This window comes from Homo sapiens, chromosome 3 (assembly GCF_000001405.40).
Source record: "Homo sapiens chromosome 3, GRCh38.p14 Primary Assembly".
In the NCBI taxonomy this organism is placed as follows: domain Eukaryota; kingdom Metazoa; phylum Chordata; class Mammalia; order Primates; family Hominidae; genus Homo; species Homo sapiens.
Window position 1 is genome coordinate 141,219,877 of NC_000003.12, and position 15,485 is coordinate 141,235,361.

Sequence of the window (15,485 nt, forward strand, 5' to 3'; positions counted from 1 at the left end):
GTGGCTGTTCACCCATCAGGAGAAGCACACACAGTGAACCTCAATCCAGTGAGAAGACAGTGCTCCCTGCAAGCTGGATCATGAGACAACAAGCCCGGGCATCTCCACCACATGGGGGTCCATTGCTCTGTACCTTCCAGCTGCCACCTGGAGCACAAGTGGGCTGCTGGGTTCAAGGGATGAGGTGGGATAGGAATTGTGAGTTACTGAAGTGGGCAAGACCATTGCCTCCAAGTCCTTCCTCAACCTCATTCATGTCTGTCTGTCACCCTGCCTGTCCTCCCCATTGCTCCTCCCTTCCCCAGACTCCTATTCTACCATCACATCCATCCCAGCTTGCTAGCCATCCAGCTGCCCTAGCGCTTCCTTGCCATTGCTAAGAAGAAAGGCAGCCCTGTTGGCATTGCCTGTTATTCTGTGCATGATACTGAGTGCTTGTTTTGTGGAAGGCAATGGTTCCCAAACTTGGCTGGCCCTCAGGGCCATCCCCAGACCTCCTGAACAGGCCAACAAATTCAGCAGGGTAAAGCAACCAGGGGCCCAGGCCACAAATCTTAGGAGGCTATTGCTTCAGGGTCTTGCAAGTGCAGGGTCTGCTCCTGAGAACGGGGGCTCCTTGAACTTTTCACCCTAGGCTCCTCTCTTATTCCACCTTTGTCTCAGCCCAGCTCCTGAGAAAAATCTGTGTGTGTGTGCTTTGAATCTGTATTTCAACCAGTGCCCAAGTCCAGTGCCCAGGCCAGGGTTTTGTACCCACTGCCCTATAGGAGTACTAGTGGGGCCTGTCTAAGCTCTCCTGGATATTCGGAATAAGGAGAGAGAACAGGGTTTCCAAGAAGTAGTTCCCCACTTTTGGGACGTGGTAGAGGGGACACATTCTTTGCCTCCTCCAGCCTCAACATGAAGCCCTGGAGGTGGTGATGGTTTGATGGATGCCAGAGCAGCTGACACCTGCAAGGCTCAGCATTCCATCTCCCTGGAGAAGCCCGCCTTCCCCCTTTGCCATCCTCTTGCCCACCCCAGGCCACCTGGCCCAGGGAATAGAGCATCCCAGATACTGTGGTCCTTCTCCAGTCTGCATATGTCGAAACCTGGGGTAAGAGTCAAACACGGTATCTCTGTAGGGTAGAGTCTCTCCTCTTGTCCATAATTCTGTATGAGGTGACCAAGGAGGGGCCTCCAGGAACCCCCACAGGCTGACTTTGCCCAAGGCCAAGCAGCAGGTCCCACTCTTTCCCCCACTGCAAAACCCCATTGCAGTGGTCCCTAAACCTATTGTGATGTTCCCAAATAAAGTCTCCTGTACCATGCTTTAACAGGTATCACTGAATAATTTTTTCTTTAACAACACCATAGCCTAGGAGAAGAACATGGTGCTTCTCACTTTCACCCAAAAGGACTGGTAACTTGGATCCTTTAAAGTCAAAAGTGAGTTTTGACTGTACACAGGGTGACTATTTGTGAGGAATTGGGAGACTAAAAGGGGCTGAGACATTCACCAAGGTCCAGACATGACACCGCACCTTACCTGGGCCAGGAGCCAGCATAGGTAGGGAGGATGTTGAGATCCTCCATCCTCCCAAACTCTCTTGGGCCCAACAGGGGTTTCCACCAGGAGGAGTGAGAATTAATGGAGGAACCCAAGTTGTCGGATGGAAGGGGAATGAGACTGAGAAGGGAGGCAAGAGTCAGGCAAACAGAGGTCAAACCTGGCTCCGCCCAGAGAGCCGTGTGATGCTAGGCAGGCTGTTGAAACCTCTGAGCATCATTCTCCTCATCTGTAAAATGGAGTTAATATTCCCAACAACCACTGGAGCTTGAATGAGATGGTATATGTGAAGATGTTTAGCAAAAGGTCTGGTGCACAGGAGGTGCTCAATAAAGGGCAGTTGTTTTTATGGGTCATTTAGAATTCTTGAGGAAGCCCTTCTCCTGAGAGAGAAGCACATACAGACGTGCTTTGCTTTTGAGCTTCAGTTGAGAGTCATGGCCTTCAGAATATGGAAAGAGAGTCCCATCTGCAAACTGTCTTCTGCCTGAGAGGCCAGGCTGTGCAAAAACCCTGAAGCGCCCAGGACATGGCTCTGCCACATCTGCCCCTGCCAGAACCATGGAGGGAAGAAAGGCTAGGCTGACTTCTGCTCACCCAACGGACCTTCACCTCTGGGAAACCTTCCCTCTTCTCCAGGCCAGGTTAGGCCCTCCTGCTCAACCCCTATCACTGACTCAATATTGTAGTCTGTTGCTCGTTTGATCATATGTGTTCTTAAACAGGCTTTGGGGGCTGTCAGGCAGATACCCGTCAAGATACTCAGCACAGTGCTGAGAATGCCTTAAACACTCAATAAATGAATGAATGGAGATTGGAGACCTCTTGAAAACACACTTCATTCTTTGTCCATCCTGCCACACTACCATTATGCTGGCCTCTTACTCTTCCAAAAGGACTTAGGTTGATCCTGCCTTTGTTTACCCAGGATAATGGGAGATCACCCCAGTTGTCCCAAGCCTACCTCCTACCCTGCCCCAGCCTGTGGCTCAATTCAACCTCTCTGTTTTAGGCTATTTTGAAACCCACGTAGGATCCAAGGTAGTGGGGATGGGGTGTTGGAGCCAGGTATGATGGGAGGGAGGAAGGGTCAGAGGACGAGGGAGTTAGGACTCCTTAGCTCTTTGCTCCCTGTGAGGTGTGTGAAAATTGTTGGTACTCTGGGAATTGAAGGAGCAGCTAGCTCTAGTATTAGCCAGCTAGACCTAACATTGCTTTAGTTACTTGGGTGGAAGGGATCTTTTAGGCCCCCATTAAAGGCAGATGAACAGGTCTCTGACATCCAGGATTACGTAGAGCTGGGAATTGTTGGTGCTCCCACCAGCCATAGTGGGGAAACCTTGTAATGCGTGGGAACTTAAATAAAGTACTCAAAAGGGTATTATCCTAGTAATGGGGAAAAACCATGTATAGACTAAAGGCTGGTCTGATCCCACATAACAAAGCATAAACATAAATATTCAAACAGAGCAAACTGTTTCTAAGTAACTTATGTGTCCTAGAACAAAGTTCAAAAATATTTGTTAGAAAACAGGAATATTCAGTACCCACAAAAATATAATTTACATTGTTTGGCATTGAATCAAAAATTACCAGGCATGTAAAGAAGCAAGGAACTACATCCCATGATAAGGGGAAAAAAATCAAAATCAACCCAGAAATTATACATTAAATAAATAGGCACATTAAAAAACTCACAACGCTACTATATACGGTCAATAAAGTAGAGGAAAATATGAGCATGTTAAATAGAGACATGAAAAATACTTTTTAAGTTCTTTTCTTTTTATTCTTTACAGAAGGTCTTGCCCTGTTGTCAGGCCAGCATACATGGCTCTCTGCAGCCTTGACCTCCCAAGCTCAAATGATCCTCCCATTTCAGCTTCCCAAGTGGCTAAGACTACATGTATGCATCACCACATCTGGCTAACTTTTTAATTTTTTTGTAGAGACAGAGTCTCCCTATGTTGCACAGGCTGGTCTTGAACTCCTGGACTCAAGTGATACTCCTACCTTGGCCTTTAAAAGCATTGGGATTACAGGTGTGTGCCACCACACCCAGTGAAAAATACTTTTTAAGTAAAGCTTCAATCAAGTGTCTAGATATAAAAAATAAAATATCAGAGACAAAAAATGCACTGGATGAGACTAACAACAGATTAGACATGGCAGAAAATAAAAGATAGGTGAACTTGAAGATGTAGAAATAGAAACTAAAACAAAACACAGAGAAAAAAAGATGGAAAAAAATGAAGAGTATCAGTGAGCTGTGCTACAATTTCAAGCAGTCTAATATGTGTGTAATTGGAGTCCTCAAAAGACAGTAGTGGACAGAAAAAATATTTCAAAAAATAATGGCAGAAATTGTTATAAATTTGGCGAAAACTTCATATATAAAGAAAATTAGACCAATGTGAATCATAATCTAATTGCTTAAAACCAATGATAAAGAGAAAAGTATAAAAAGCAAGCGGGGGGAGGGGGGCACAGGCATTACATAAAGAGAAAGAAATATAAGAATGACAATGGACTTCTTTTCAGAAACAATGCAAATAGGAAGACAGTGGAAGAACATCTTTAAAGTACAGTCATGTGTTCCATAACAGATGCTGCAATGATGGATCACATATATGACAGTGGTCCCATAAGATTATAATAGAGCTGAAAAAGCCCTGTTAGCTAGTGATGTTGTAGTCATTGTAACATCATAGCACAATTGCTTAATTTTTTAAATAAAAATTCTATAAAACCTTCCCATAAAGAAACTCCAGGTCAAGATGGCTTAGTGGTGATGCCTATCAAACATTTAAGGAAGAAATAATACTCATACACATAAAGTTTTCCAGAAACTGAAATAGGAATGAGCATTTCCTAAGTCATTCTATGAGGCCAGCATTACTCTGATACCTGGACCAAACATTATGAAAAAAGGAAAATTATAAATCAATATCACTCATGAACATAGACATAAATATTCTTTAAACATTTTTAGCAAATCAAATACAGCAATGTATTAAAAGGGTAATGTATCATGACCAAGTGGAGTTTAGCCCCAGAAATCCAAGGCTGGCTTAACATTAAAAAATAATCAGTACAATTTACCATATTAGCAGATAAAAAAAGAAAACCATATGATCGTCTCAACTAAAAACTGTATGATCCATCTCTTTATATGGACGAAGAGCAACTGAGAAGATCCAACATCTATTACTGATTTAAAAAAAAAAACCTCTCAGTAAATTAGGAATAGAAGGAAACTTCAACATGATAAAAGCAATTTATGAAAAGCCCATAGTTAACATCATACATAATGGTGGATGTCAAAGACCCTCTAAGATCAGGAACAAGGCAAAGATGTCCAATCTTACCACCCCTGTTTATGCCATTATACTAGGTTTCGGTCAGTGCAAAGTAACAAGAAAAAGAAATAAAAGGCATCCAGATTGAAAAGGAGGACGTAAAACTGTCTTTATTCACACATGACATAATCATCTCTGCAGGCAATCTTAAGGGACCTAAAAAAGCTGCTAGAACTAATAGATTAGTTTAGCAGAATACAAGGTCAGTATACAAAACTCAATTTTATTTATGTCTACTACCAATGAACAATTAGAAATAGAAACTTAACAATATCATTTATAACAGCATCAAAAATTTTGAATCCGTAGGTGTAAATAAACAAGAAACGTATAAGACCTGTGCAATGAAAACTAAAACATTGCTAAGAAAAATTAAAGAAGATGCGAACAAATATAAAAATATGGTGTACATGTGTCAGAAGATTCAATACCGTTAAGGTATCTAACCTTTCCAAAGTGATCTACAGATTCTATACAATCCCAGCCAAGTTTCTAACAAGGATTTTTTTTTTGTAGAAATTTACAAGCTGATTCTAAAACTTATATGGAAATGAAAAAGACATAGAGTGATCAAAACAATTCTGAAAAAAATAAAATTAGAAGACTTATGCTCTTGCCATCGGGATTTATTATAAAGCTACTGTAATCAAGACAGTTTGGCATTATCATAAGATAGACATTTAGATCAGTAGAACAGAATAGAGAGTTCAGAAATAGACCCACAGATACAAATCAATTAATTTCCTACAAAGGTGTCCAGGCAAGTAACTGGGGAAGGGATAATGTTTACAACTGCTGCTAGACTAGTTGGAATCATATGTAAAAACTTGACCCTTACCTCATACCCTATATAAAAATTAACTTGAAATAGAACATAGACTTAAATATCAGAGCCAAAACTGTAAAACTTCTTGAGGAAGTTAGAAGAAAATCATAGTTGTATTGGGTTTGGCAAAGATTTCTGAAAGAGAACACAAAAATCAAGAACTGTAAAAAAAAAAAAAAATCAATAAGTGGCACTTTATCGACATTTAAAACTTTGTTCTTCAAAACACATTGTAATGAAAATGAAAAAGGCAAACCCATAGGCTGGAAGAAAATATTTGCAAATGTAAATCTGACAGATTTGTGTCTAGAATATATACAGAACACTCACAACTCAATAATATGGCAAACAACCCAATTAAATAGTCAAAAGATTTGAACAGATGCTTCACCAAGGAAGATACACAGATGGCAAATAAGCACATGAAAAGATACTCAGCATCATGAAACAATGGTGAATTACAAATTAAAGCAAAAACAATATTGCTACCCACCCACCAGAATGGCTAAAATTAAAAATATTGACCATACCAAGTGTTGGTGAGGATATGGAGCAAAAGGAATTCTCAGCATTACTGATGAGAGTGTAAAATGATATAAGCAGTCTGGAAAACAGTTTGACAATTTCTTTAAAGGTTAAACATATCCCTATCATGTGACCCAGCCATGCCATTCCTAGATAGTTACACAAAAGCAATGAAAGAATGTGTTCATTGGTACAAGTACTAATACTTGTACACAAATGTTCACAGAAGCTTTGTCATAACCCAGTCTGGAAACAACCCAAATGTCCATCAATGGTGAATCAAAAACAAACTGTGGGATATCCTTACCATGGAAAAATAGTCAGCAATGAAAATGAATAAGTTATTGATACGAGCATCACTGTGGCTGAATTTCAAAATAATTGCGCTAAGTAAGTGAAAAATATCCAGCAAAAAAAAGCATACATACTATATGATTTCATTAATACAAAATTTGAGAAGATGCAAACTACTCCATAGTGATAGAAAGCAGATTCATGGTTTGGACTAGAGTGGTGATGGAGACGACTAAAGTGGGCAAATTAGAGGAATATTCACAGAGGGAATGATGAACAGGACTTGGAAAAAGACCAGATGTGGAGGATGAGGGAGAGAGAGGTGTTTCCCATGTTTCTAATTTTCAGATTAGGACAGTTGGCACAGGCGCTATTCCCTACAACAGAAAACACCAGTTAAGTTTTGGACATTATGGAGTTTTTGGTGCTTTGAGAAGTTCAACGGAATCACTGAGTAAGCAATTGGATATTCTGGTCTGTCCTCAACAGGGAGGTGTGGGCTGAAGGCAAAGGATCTCAGAACCCAAGGCAACTCAGCCAGTGTTCATGAATATAAGTCGCCTGGATCCACTGAGGGAAGTGGTGAGCCCAAGTAGTTTCGGGATGCAATTTGTGAACAATCCAAACTTGTAAGATAAATTTGTTCTGCTCCTCTTTGGAGAATACTGAGATGTTTTATTTTCTTTTTATTTAGTGGCTTAAAAAACATATATATGGGGCAAAGAACCCAGTGCAGTTTAGTGAAAAGGGCCCTGAAACGTTCAGGAGGCCTGGATTTTAGTCCTGGGTCTCCCACTACCTAATTTTGTGACTGATTTTGGGTAAGTTGATTCTTCTCTGTCTCTTGTTTATTCTGGGCATAGAATTCTACACTGGCAATGACTTACAGCACTTTACGGCTGTTTTCTAGCTTCCAATCTCTCTCCTTTGGGTCCTAACTGGAAGTCTAGGGTATCGCCTGGGCCCCATCTCTCATGGACCCTGAACTACAATTGCTGTTTCTCAAGTGGCCATGAGACTGCAGAAAGCTCCGTCAGCTGCTCAACCTCCTCTCATCTCCTTTCTGATTAACATTCCATTATAAAACAAGAAGTATGGTCTTTTAGCCCATCTATCCATTCATCCAATTTTCATACAGTACCTACTATGTGCCTGGTATTGTTTTAGATGGAATAGAAAGCCAGAGTCCTTGTTGTCCTTTTATGACTTCTAAATGTTATTTGTGTTCATCTAGTACTTGTTTGTTTCTTTTTTTTCTTTAGAAGCCTCTTTCAGTTGGGCTTAGAGGTTAGAAGACAAAAATGAGTATTTAGATCTATGATTCAGCAAATTACTGCAGTTCTTTGATTTTTTGGCTTAAAGTCAAGTTCAGAGCCATCTCTTATTTTTATTTAATGTGGTTATTTTGTGTTCTGTTCTTCCAGATTTGGCTTTCTAATTAAATTTCACCCAGATAGATGGGAAAATGAGTTTGCCTCCCTAGCTGCTCTCAGGAGGGGGAAGGGACTTGCATAATAGGCCTGCTAGGGGTGGGGAGAAGGGATTACAGCTGGTGGTAAGTAAAATGAATCATGCATACATAAATAATAGAGAACAGACCACCCTGGAGCTGGCCTGGATTGCATTTTTAAAAACTATACATGTGTTAGAGACAGTGCAGCATTTCTGCAAGAAGCTAAGGATGATCTTTAGCTTTTTGCAAGATATTTATCTCCCTGAGGCCCTGCAGTTGCCAGGTGTGGGGTAGAAGTGTGAATGAGGCCATATTCTCTCTTTACATCACAGTTTGATATTCTCTACTATATTAATCAACATAAATCTATTATGTATAATTTTAGTTTTAATCTTTATTTTTGTGTGCTTTGTATTTTTCCAAGTTTCAACAATGAATAGGTACTTCTTTTGTCATCGGAGAAACAAAACCCATGGTAAATGGAATTTTGAAATGAAATTTATTCTCTGGATACTGTGATGGGCACAGAAGAAAGGTTTAGTGTGGATGTATAAAATCTGTCATAAGTCAAGACTGCAGGCAGCACAGGCCTTTGGAACTTAGAACATGGTGCAAATAACCACTCCACCTCCATCCCCTAGAGGACTCCCTGGTATTGTCATCTGTCATCTCAGTCTCTGTCCTAGACTATTTGTCTTTCCCCATGGTAAAGTCCCTTTAAGTGTAGAGGCAGTAGCTCATTGTTTCTTTAAGTCTACAGTACGGGACAAAGGAGGCTGTGCAAATATTTGTACAATTTTTGCTCAAAGGCTTGAAAGTGAATTGAAGCTGGACACCTGCTCCCAGTTGCTTATAGTCTAGGAAGGGATCACTTGTGTAACATGGGAGCAAATGCTGCCTAGCGGAATATTCGTGACTTGGGTGAGTCTGGGACTATTTTTATAAGATGGGTGGGCTCTGCTTTTAATGAATGTTGAGGGTTTCCTTGGAGGTCAAGATGTGAATTTGGAAAGGACAAAGGAGCAGGCTGGGAATAAGAGGGGAGACAAAAGTTATTGAGCATACTGCATGCACTTTTCATTTCTACAGTTTACAGTTACCAAAGAGGATGGCTTGCTCATTTATCATATGAATAACGGTGATGATAGTTGCTATTTTACAGGAACTAATGTGTGAGGTCCTATGCTAGAGGCTTATACTAGTCAAGACTCTCTTGGTTGCAAGTGACAGAGAAAGCCAATTCTAATTTGCTTGGGGGAAAATGGGGTATTTACTGGAACACGTACTTGAAAAATCCAGTGGTATGTGGGATTCAGGCACAGCAGAAACCTGCCTATGACATCCATTCTGTTGTGAAGGTAAACAAAAAAGAAAGAAAGAAAGAAACCTGCCTATCTCACCACTCTGCTTTCCTCTGTCAGCTGCAGTCTCTGGCACAGTCTCCCCAGGTGCTGGCCAGATGGTCCCCAGCTGTGTCAGGCTGCCATCCTGCCTCTTCAGCAACCACGGAGGAAAGAGATTTAGTGGGAGTAATGGTCTTGAGATGCTTCCTCATATCTATTTTCCCTGTAGGAAGCTTTTCTTTTTTCTTCCCTATAGCCCCTTTCTCCATTAAGGCTCGGTGGGTACCACTCAGAACCCAGAGTCCACAGGGGGAGGAGATGCCTCCTCTAGAATGGAAGGTAGCATAGACATCCTCAGGGAATCGGGAAGGTGAGGTAAAGAAACAGGATGTGAGTCTAGGGAGTGTATGATGCCTGATTCCATGAGGGCCTGAGGCTATCCCTATACCAAGTGTGGACCTAGGGAAGGGGGTGGTACAAAGACACAGATCTCAGATAGGTTAAGGAGGAAGCTGAAAGCAGAAAGGGCCTGTGTCCTATCTCCAGGCTGAGACTCTGCCCCCACAGTATGCCCTGCGCTGTCAAGCAAAGCGCTGGTGTGGCAAATTTTGCAGAGAAATGGCTAGAGATGGTGCCCTGAGTTACCTTTAGTCCCCTTGTGACAGAGAAGGGATCCAAGAGTGCCTACATGCTCCCTGCTGAGGGTGATAGTGTGTCCACGAGTGAACCCACCTGCCATGGAGTCACAGAGGCTGAGAGCACAGCATGGACATGTGGCCCAATCCTGCAAACAAAGCCAGGTCCAAGGCTAGTTGCAATGGCTGGCAGAGAAGCTGATTTTCTGCTAGAACTAGAGCTGTGAGGCTGTGAGCCTGGATCTGCCAGGGTCTCATGTGCGCATGAAAGCGTAGTTCATGTGGAAGACAGCAAAACTGAGACGGGGAGTCCCTGAGACCCTGGGACTAAAGCCAGGCCTGAAGCAGACAGGCTCTTCATGTACACAGCGGATCAACCCTTTGTGATTTAAGTTAGTGTGAATTGGGTTGTCTTTTACAGCAGAAAGCACCTTGACTAACCCATGTAGAGAAGAGGGTGACAGTGTGAGCTAAGCAGTAGAGCCTGCAATCCGTGAGAGGACAATCAGAAGGGGCAGAGGAGACATTGTTGGGCGGGCTGCGGTGGGCTTCTGTGGGGGCCAGGTGGGAGAGTTGGGGGTGATGCCAAAGGGGACAGTGAAAAGATTTTGTGCTCATGGATTGGGAGAGGCTGTCAGTATTCAGGGCAGAAAAAAGGCCCGGGATAGCGCTGCATCGGGGGAATACCAGAGGCGGACAGGCAGCAAAGTCCGGTACTGACGAGCCATTAAGGCACCTGATGAAGAAGGCATGACAGGTGGCTGAGAGAATGGCGAGACCACGGGGATAAATGGAGTTGGGAGCTTGGAAGAGGTAAAATTTAGTGCCAGACGTGGTAACTTGAGGAGGAAAGTTCTAAGAAAAAAACCGGAGGGTAGGGGGAAATATGGCTAACATATCTGAGCCAAGTGTGTGGATTTGAGAGCCATCAATCAAGGAGAGAAAGCAGAAGTCAAGGGATGAGATCCTCCCAAAGGTGCACCTCAAAGGTATATAGTAGCAAATTCGAATCCGTATCTATTTTGCCTGAGGCTAGTTGTGCTAGGACACACAGGGTTGCTGTAGACCTCGAGCTGACAGCAAAGACCTCTCTGATAATCGCTGTTGGTCGTTTCATCTCCCACAGAGAAATCTGGTGGAAATCTCCACCAGCTGGAACCTAACATTTGCAATAAATGACCCACAAATACTGATCAAACCAAATACAACCGTTCGCCTATCAGATGTCTAACGGGGCGTTACAGGCAGCCCTCAAGTGCTCTGAGGATCTTCAGCAGCGGCTCCAAGGAAGCCGCGGGCCGGGAGCAGGTGGGAAGGGCGACTGCGCGGGGCCACGACCTCCCCGGGTCTCTGCAGACCGTTGGAGACGGAGCAGCAGCGAGGACTAGAGCAACACAAGGCCGGATGTGTTCTGAGCCGGAAGAGGAGTGTGGGATAGGCCGAAAGGGGTGGGGGGTGGGGGGTGACAGTTTGGGTCTACGTGGCAGCAGGCGCACCCCAGACGCGCGCGCCCACCCGGCGATAGCATCAGCGGCGCCAGGGCAGGCACATGGCCCCAAAGCACCCACACTAGGGCCCGGGCCGGCCAGGGCTGTGTTCCTGGGCCTTGGCGCGCCTCCGCGCAGTCCCTGATCGCAGGTCAGGAGTTGTGAGGCACGCGAGAGCCCTGCGCGTCTGTGGTCGTGGTCCCTGCGCGCTCGGCTTGTCCGTGCCCGTGGCTTTGCACGCCGAGGGCTCTGCAGACTGACCAGTCTCTCCGGGCTGTGCTGGGCCTCCCAGAGGCAGTGTCCTCTCAGCAACCCCGCGCGGTCGCCCCCGCCCAGCCGCACCGCAACACCGCCTCCGGGGCGGAGCTCCAGGGCTCCTGGTGCAGGGCCGGCCGAACTGAGACGGGGCGCGGCGGGGTCGGCAGGGGGCGCTGCCGGGCCCCGCGAGCTCCCCGGTGGCGGGTGCGCGCCGCCCTCGCCTCCCCTCGCGCCGGGAGGAGCTGGCGGCGAGCGCCGAGCCGGGCGCGCAGCGACGGAGCTGGGGCCGGCCTGGGACCATGGGCGGTGAGTGCGGCGCGGGCCTGGGCCGGGGCGGTTGCCGTTGGGGCCGAGCAGCGCAGAGGTTCTAGGCGGGTGGGCGTCCAGGGTCCGAGGTTGGGAGACTGAGGGGGTCCCCCTAACTCGCCAGTGGGAGAGGGGCGGGAAGGCTGGGGGCGCTTCGAAGCGTCGGGTCCGAATCCCGCGACTAAGCCTCCTCCTTTATCCCCGCGCTCGCCCCTGAGCCTAGGACTTGCGCCCTCTTTCCTGCCACTCCCCCCGTGCGCCCGGTGTCCCAGCCCCGGCGCCCGCCCCATAGCCCCCTTCTCCCAGAGCTGGCGCCGTCTCACGCCCGCTGCGAACCCCCGGCTCTGTCTCCAAGCCCTCGCCCCCCGCAGCCCCGCACTCTCCCGCGGAGCCCGCCTCCACCTCGCCCCCGCCCTTCCAGCCCTCTCCCGCACGGCCCCCGCACTCCCGCCGCTGGATTCCAGCCGAGATTCAAGCTCCCGGGATCCCCCTTCCCGGGCGGTCCTGAGCCGGCTAGTCTCCAGGTAAGGAGGCGGCCGCAACTTCGCGGCCTTTCCCGGAGACGGGGCTGGCTCCTCTTGGCAGCCACCTGCAGCCTGACGCCTCCGGGAGTCCCGGGCCTGGCCACGGGGCCGCCCGAGCGCAGGTTAACATTCCTGGATGCGCAGGTTAGGACCGTGTGGTGTAGACCCACGACGTTGCTTTTGCTGGTGAACTTGCCTATGTCCTGATCTTTTAAATAAGCTGGGTTTGTCACACACACACACACAGAGAGAGAGAGAATGGATTTGCTTAGGGTAGGTTGCCTGCTTTGCAGCCGCAGCTGCCTTTTAAATTGTACCTGTGGATGGTAAAGGATTCACGGTGCAGGACGTGGAGCCATATTTTCCCGCTTCGGCTGTGAGTTCAGCGATTGCGAGGGGGCTCTGTAGTGAGTGAGGTTATCACCGCCTGGCTAGCCAGTGTCTTTGTGGAAAGGCAAGGATCCTTTGTAAGCATTCAACAAGTAAAATCAGGAGAGATGGGGAATCAGATCGAGCTGTGAATGGGGAAGTGTAGGGGGGTGGATGGGGGATCGGAGAGTGCTCCACAAATGGAGCCGTTTGTTGATATTTGCAGAAGGCCCGTGGGTGTGAAGCTGGCAGTGCGGAGCCCACCCTTTCAAACGGGATGCGACTGCGGTCGGGCTTGGCAGTAACTTACCCTCCTCAGAGGTGTTGGTGCCCAATCGGGACATCTGTGGGAAGGGGATTTATAGCAGATGGATCAAAAGGCCTCGGGCGCGGTGGCTCACGCCTGTAATCCCAGCACTTTGGGAGGCCGAGGCGGGCGGATCACCAGAGGTCGGGAGTTCGAGACTAGCCTGACCAACATAAAAACCCCGTCTCTACTAAAAATACAAAATTAGCCAGGCGTGGTGGTGCATACCTGTAATCCCAGCTACTCAGGAGGCTGAGACAGGAGAATCGCTTGCACCTGGGAGGCAGAGGTTGCAGTGAGCTGAGATTGCGCCATTGCACTCCAGCTTGGGCAATAAGAGCAAAACCCTGTCAAAAAAAAAAAAAAAAAAAAAACCCTCGTGGTCCCTGGAGAGAGGTGAAGATGCACGGGACAGCCTGAAAGCCAGTGTATGAATCTGCCCCATCCCTTCTCCTGGCTTTCATTAAGTCTTGGATTAAATTAATTGCTTATCTCAGAGAAAGGATGTGTAGGGGGAACTTCTCTGTTAGGGATTGGCTCCTGGCCAGCCCATCCTCACTGATGCCTTGGGAGGCTGCGTTTGGGCACCAGGAACAGCGTGGGCCACCTGGCCTTTGGAGCACAGCACTCCGAGTGTTTGTGGAACTGCAGTATCTGTAACTCTTTTTTCTATTGATCAGCTTGAATAGTTAGCTCAATATTACTTCACTATTGATTAGATAAGTAGCCCAAGGACATACTGGGGCTCAGTAGGGTCTCTCTGTCCAGAAATTCCCGTGGGCTTCTCCTTGGCCCTCCCTACACCGCTCTGTGATGAGTCGCTGTCAGATGCCCCACTGTGCAGGAGCATCTTCAGGGATGGGTGGAAGGAACCACCTCTGTGGCCCCAGGTCCCTGCCTGGTCCCCCCTGTCTACCACATAGGGGTACTCAGTGTTTGTGAGGAAAAAAAATGGATGCCCCGGTGAATTAGTCTGAGTTCACAACCAATGTTTTCTACACTTTGCTACACTGTTCAAAATGTTACCCTTAAATTCAACAGTTTTTTTTTTTTAATGTGTCATATCACCAGAGACAAACTCATTTTTGTGTGTGTTTGGAGCAGTGAGTGCAATCTACGGATCAGTCTCTGATGGTGGGTCGTTAACCTCAGTGGGGACTCCAAGATTTCCATGAAGAAAATCAGTTGTCTTCATTCAAGAATTGGGGTAGGTGGTGGTGGGCGCCCTTGGAAGCTACTAAGTTTGTCTGCTGAGGGTTGAGTCCACCATAGCTTAACCTATAGTGCCCAGAGCTGTAGCCCCAGTCCCCTTTAACATTTCCTATCCCTGCCCACTGACGGAGGAAGCTCCCAGGGAGACAGGGTACCACTTGCAGAGCCCCACTGGCCACTTCAGATTGCACCATCCCCACTCCAGTGGGTGTTGCTTCCTGTGGCGAGCTGGGAGTGCCTCTTCTTGCACATTTCTGGCACTGTGGCTTGCAGCTCTATTGGTGGGAGGGAGGTTGGTGTTTTGGGCCAGTGCTTTGGTCTCTTGGAGGTGGCTATAACCCACTGGCAGATGGGGCAAGGTCCAGCTCTTGTGCCTCTGTCAAAGGCCACCCCCAGGCAGTACAGCCAAATGCTGAGGGGGTGGGAACACCTCATGTCCCCCTTTTTTTGTGGGGGAATCTGGAAAGGGCTAAAATTGAGACTGCCACTTGGCTGTGGGAGCCTGCACTGCCCCTGGCTGTCACGAACTTATCTTTCTTACCCAGATTGTCTCTGTCTTCAGGTCTGGCTCAGAATTCCTGCAGCTGGTGAAAATCTGTTTTCTAGAAGAGGTTTAATTAATGCCTGCAGTCTGTGAGTAAGAGAAAGGGAGGAGAGGGAGAAAGAGACATACTACTATCTAGAGGTGGGTGGGAGAAAGGATAGGAGAATGTTCAAGGTCCTGAAAATTCATAGGGGGAGATTTTGGCCCCAGAACCTGTCCCTGGACAAGGTTCCTGGTTGGTGGATAAGGAAGTGTGCCCACATTCCAGTGTAGGGGTTACCAGTTAGGAGCAAAGTCACTGAGATAGGAAAAATGACCCCATGGGAATCTGAAATCCATTTGCTGGGCCCATCATTCTGGTTTTGAGAAGGCCTTGAAAGCCAGCTGAGACTTGGGCTTAGCACGGCAGGAGAGCACTGAGCTGTTTGAAGTTTTTGAATGAGGTGTGTGCCCTTTTGGAAATAATGGCTTGAGCAAGATTGGTCTGGGGTTTG

The 15,485-nt window shown here is 46.8% G+C and overlaps 1 protein-coding gene across 24 annotated transcripts in view, besides 1 other annotated feature; it reads left to right on the forward strand.

Moving 5' to 3' along the window:
• Nucleotides 11,688-12,067: a silencer, noted in NCBI's record as "silent region_14773". NCBI's record gives its function as "represses an Ori minimal core promoter by ATAC-STARR-seq in GM12878 lymphoblastoid cells {active_cell/tissue: GM12878}" and the evidence as "EXISTENCE:reporter gene assay evidence [ECO:0000049][PMID:35858748]".
• PXYLP1 (2-phosphoxylose phosphatase 1) overlaps nt 11,949-15,485 on the forward strand; it is a 63,100-nt gene continuing 59,563 nt past the window's right edge. For 4 of the 24 annotated variants that reach the window (XM_047449222.1, XM_047449221.1, XM_047449226.1 and 1 more), the window contains exons 1-3: nt 11,949-12,035; nt 14,340-14,442; nt 15,010-15,080. The gene's annotated coding sequence lies outside the window, so the exon portion shown is untranslated. Of the gene's footprint in view, nt 12,560-14,306; nt 14,443-14,992; nt 15,085-15,485 lie in introns of all 24 variants that reach the window. The other 20 variants (XM_047449224.1, XM_047449216.1, XM_047449212.1 and 17 more) reach the window with 14 other exon arrangements.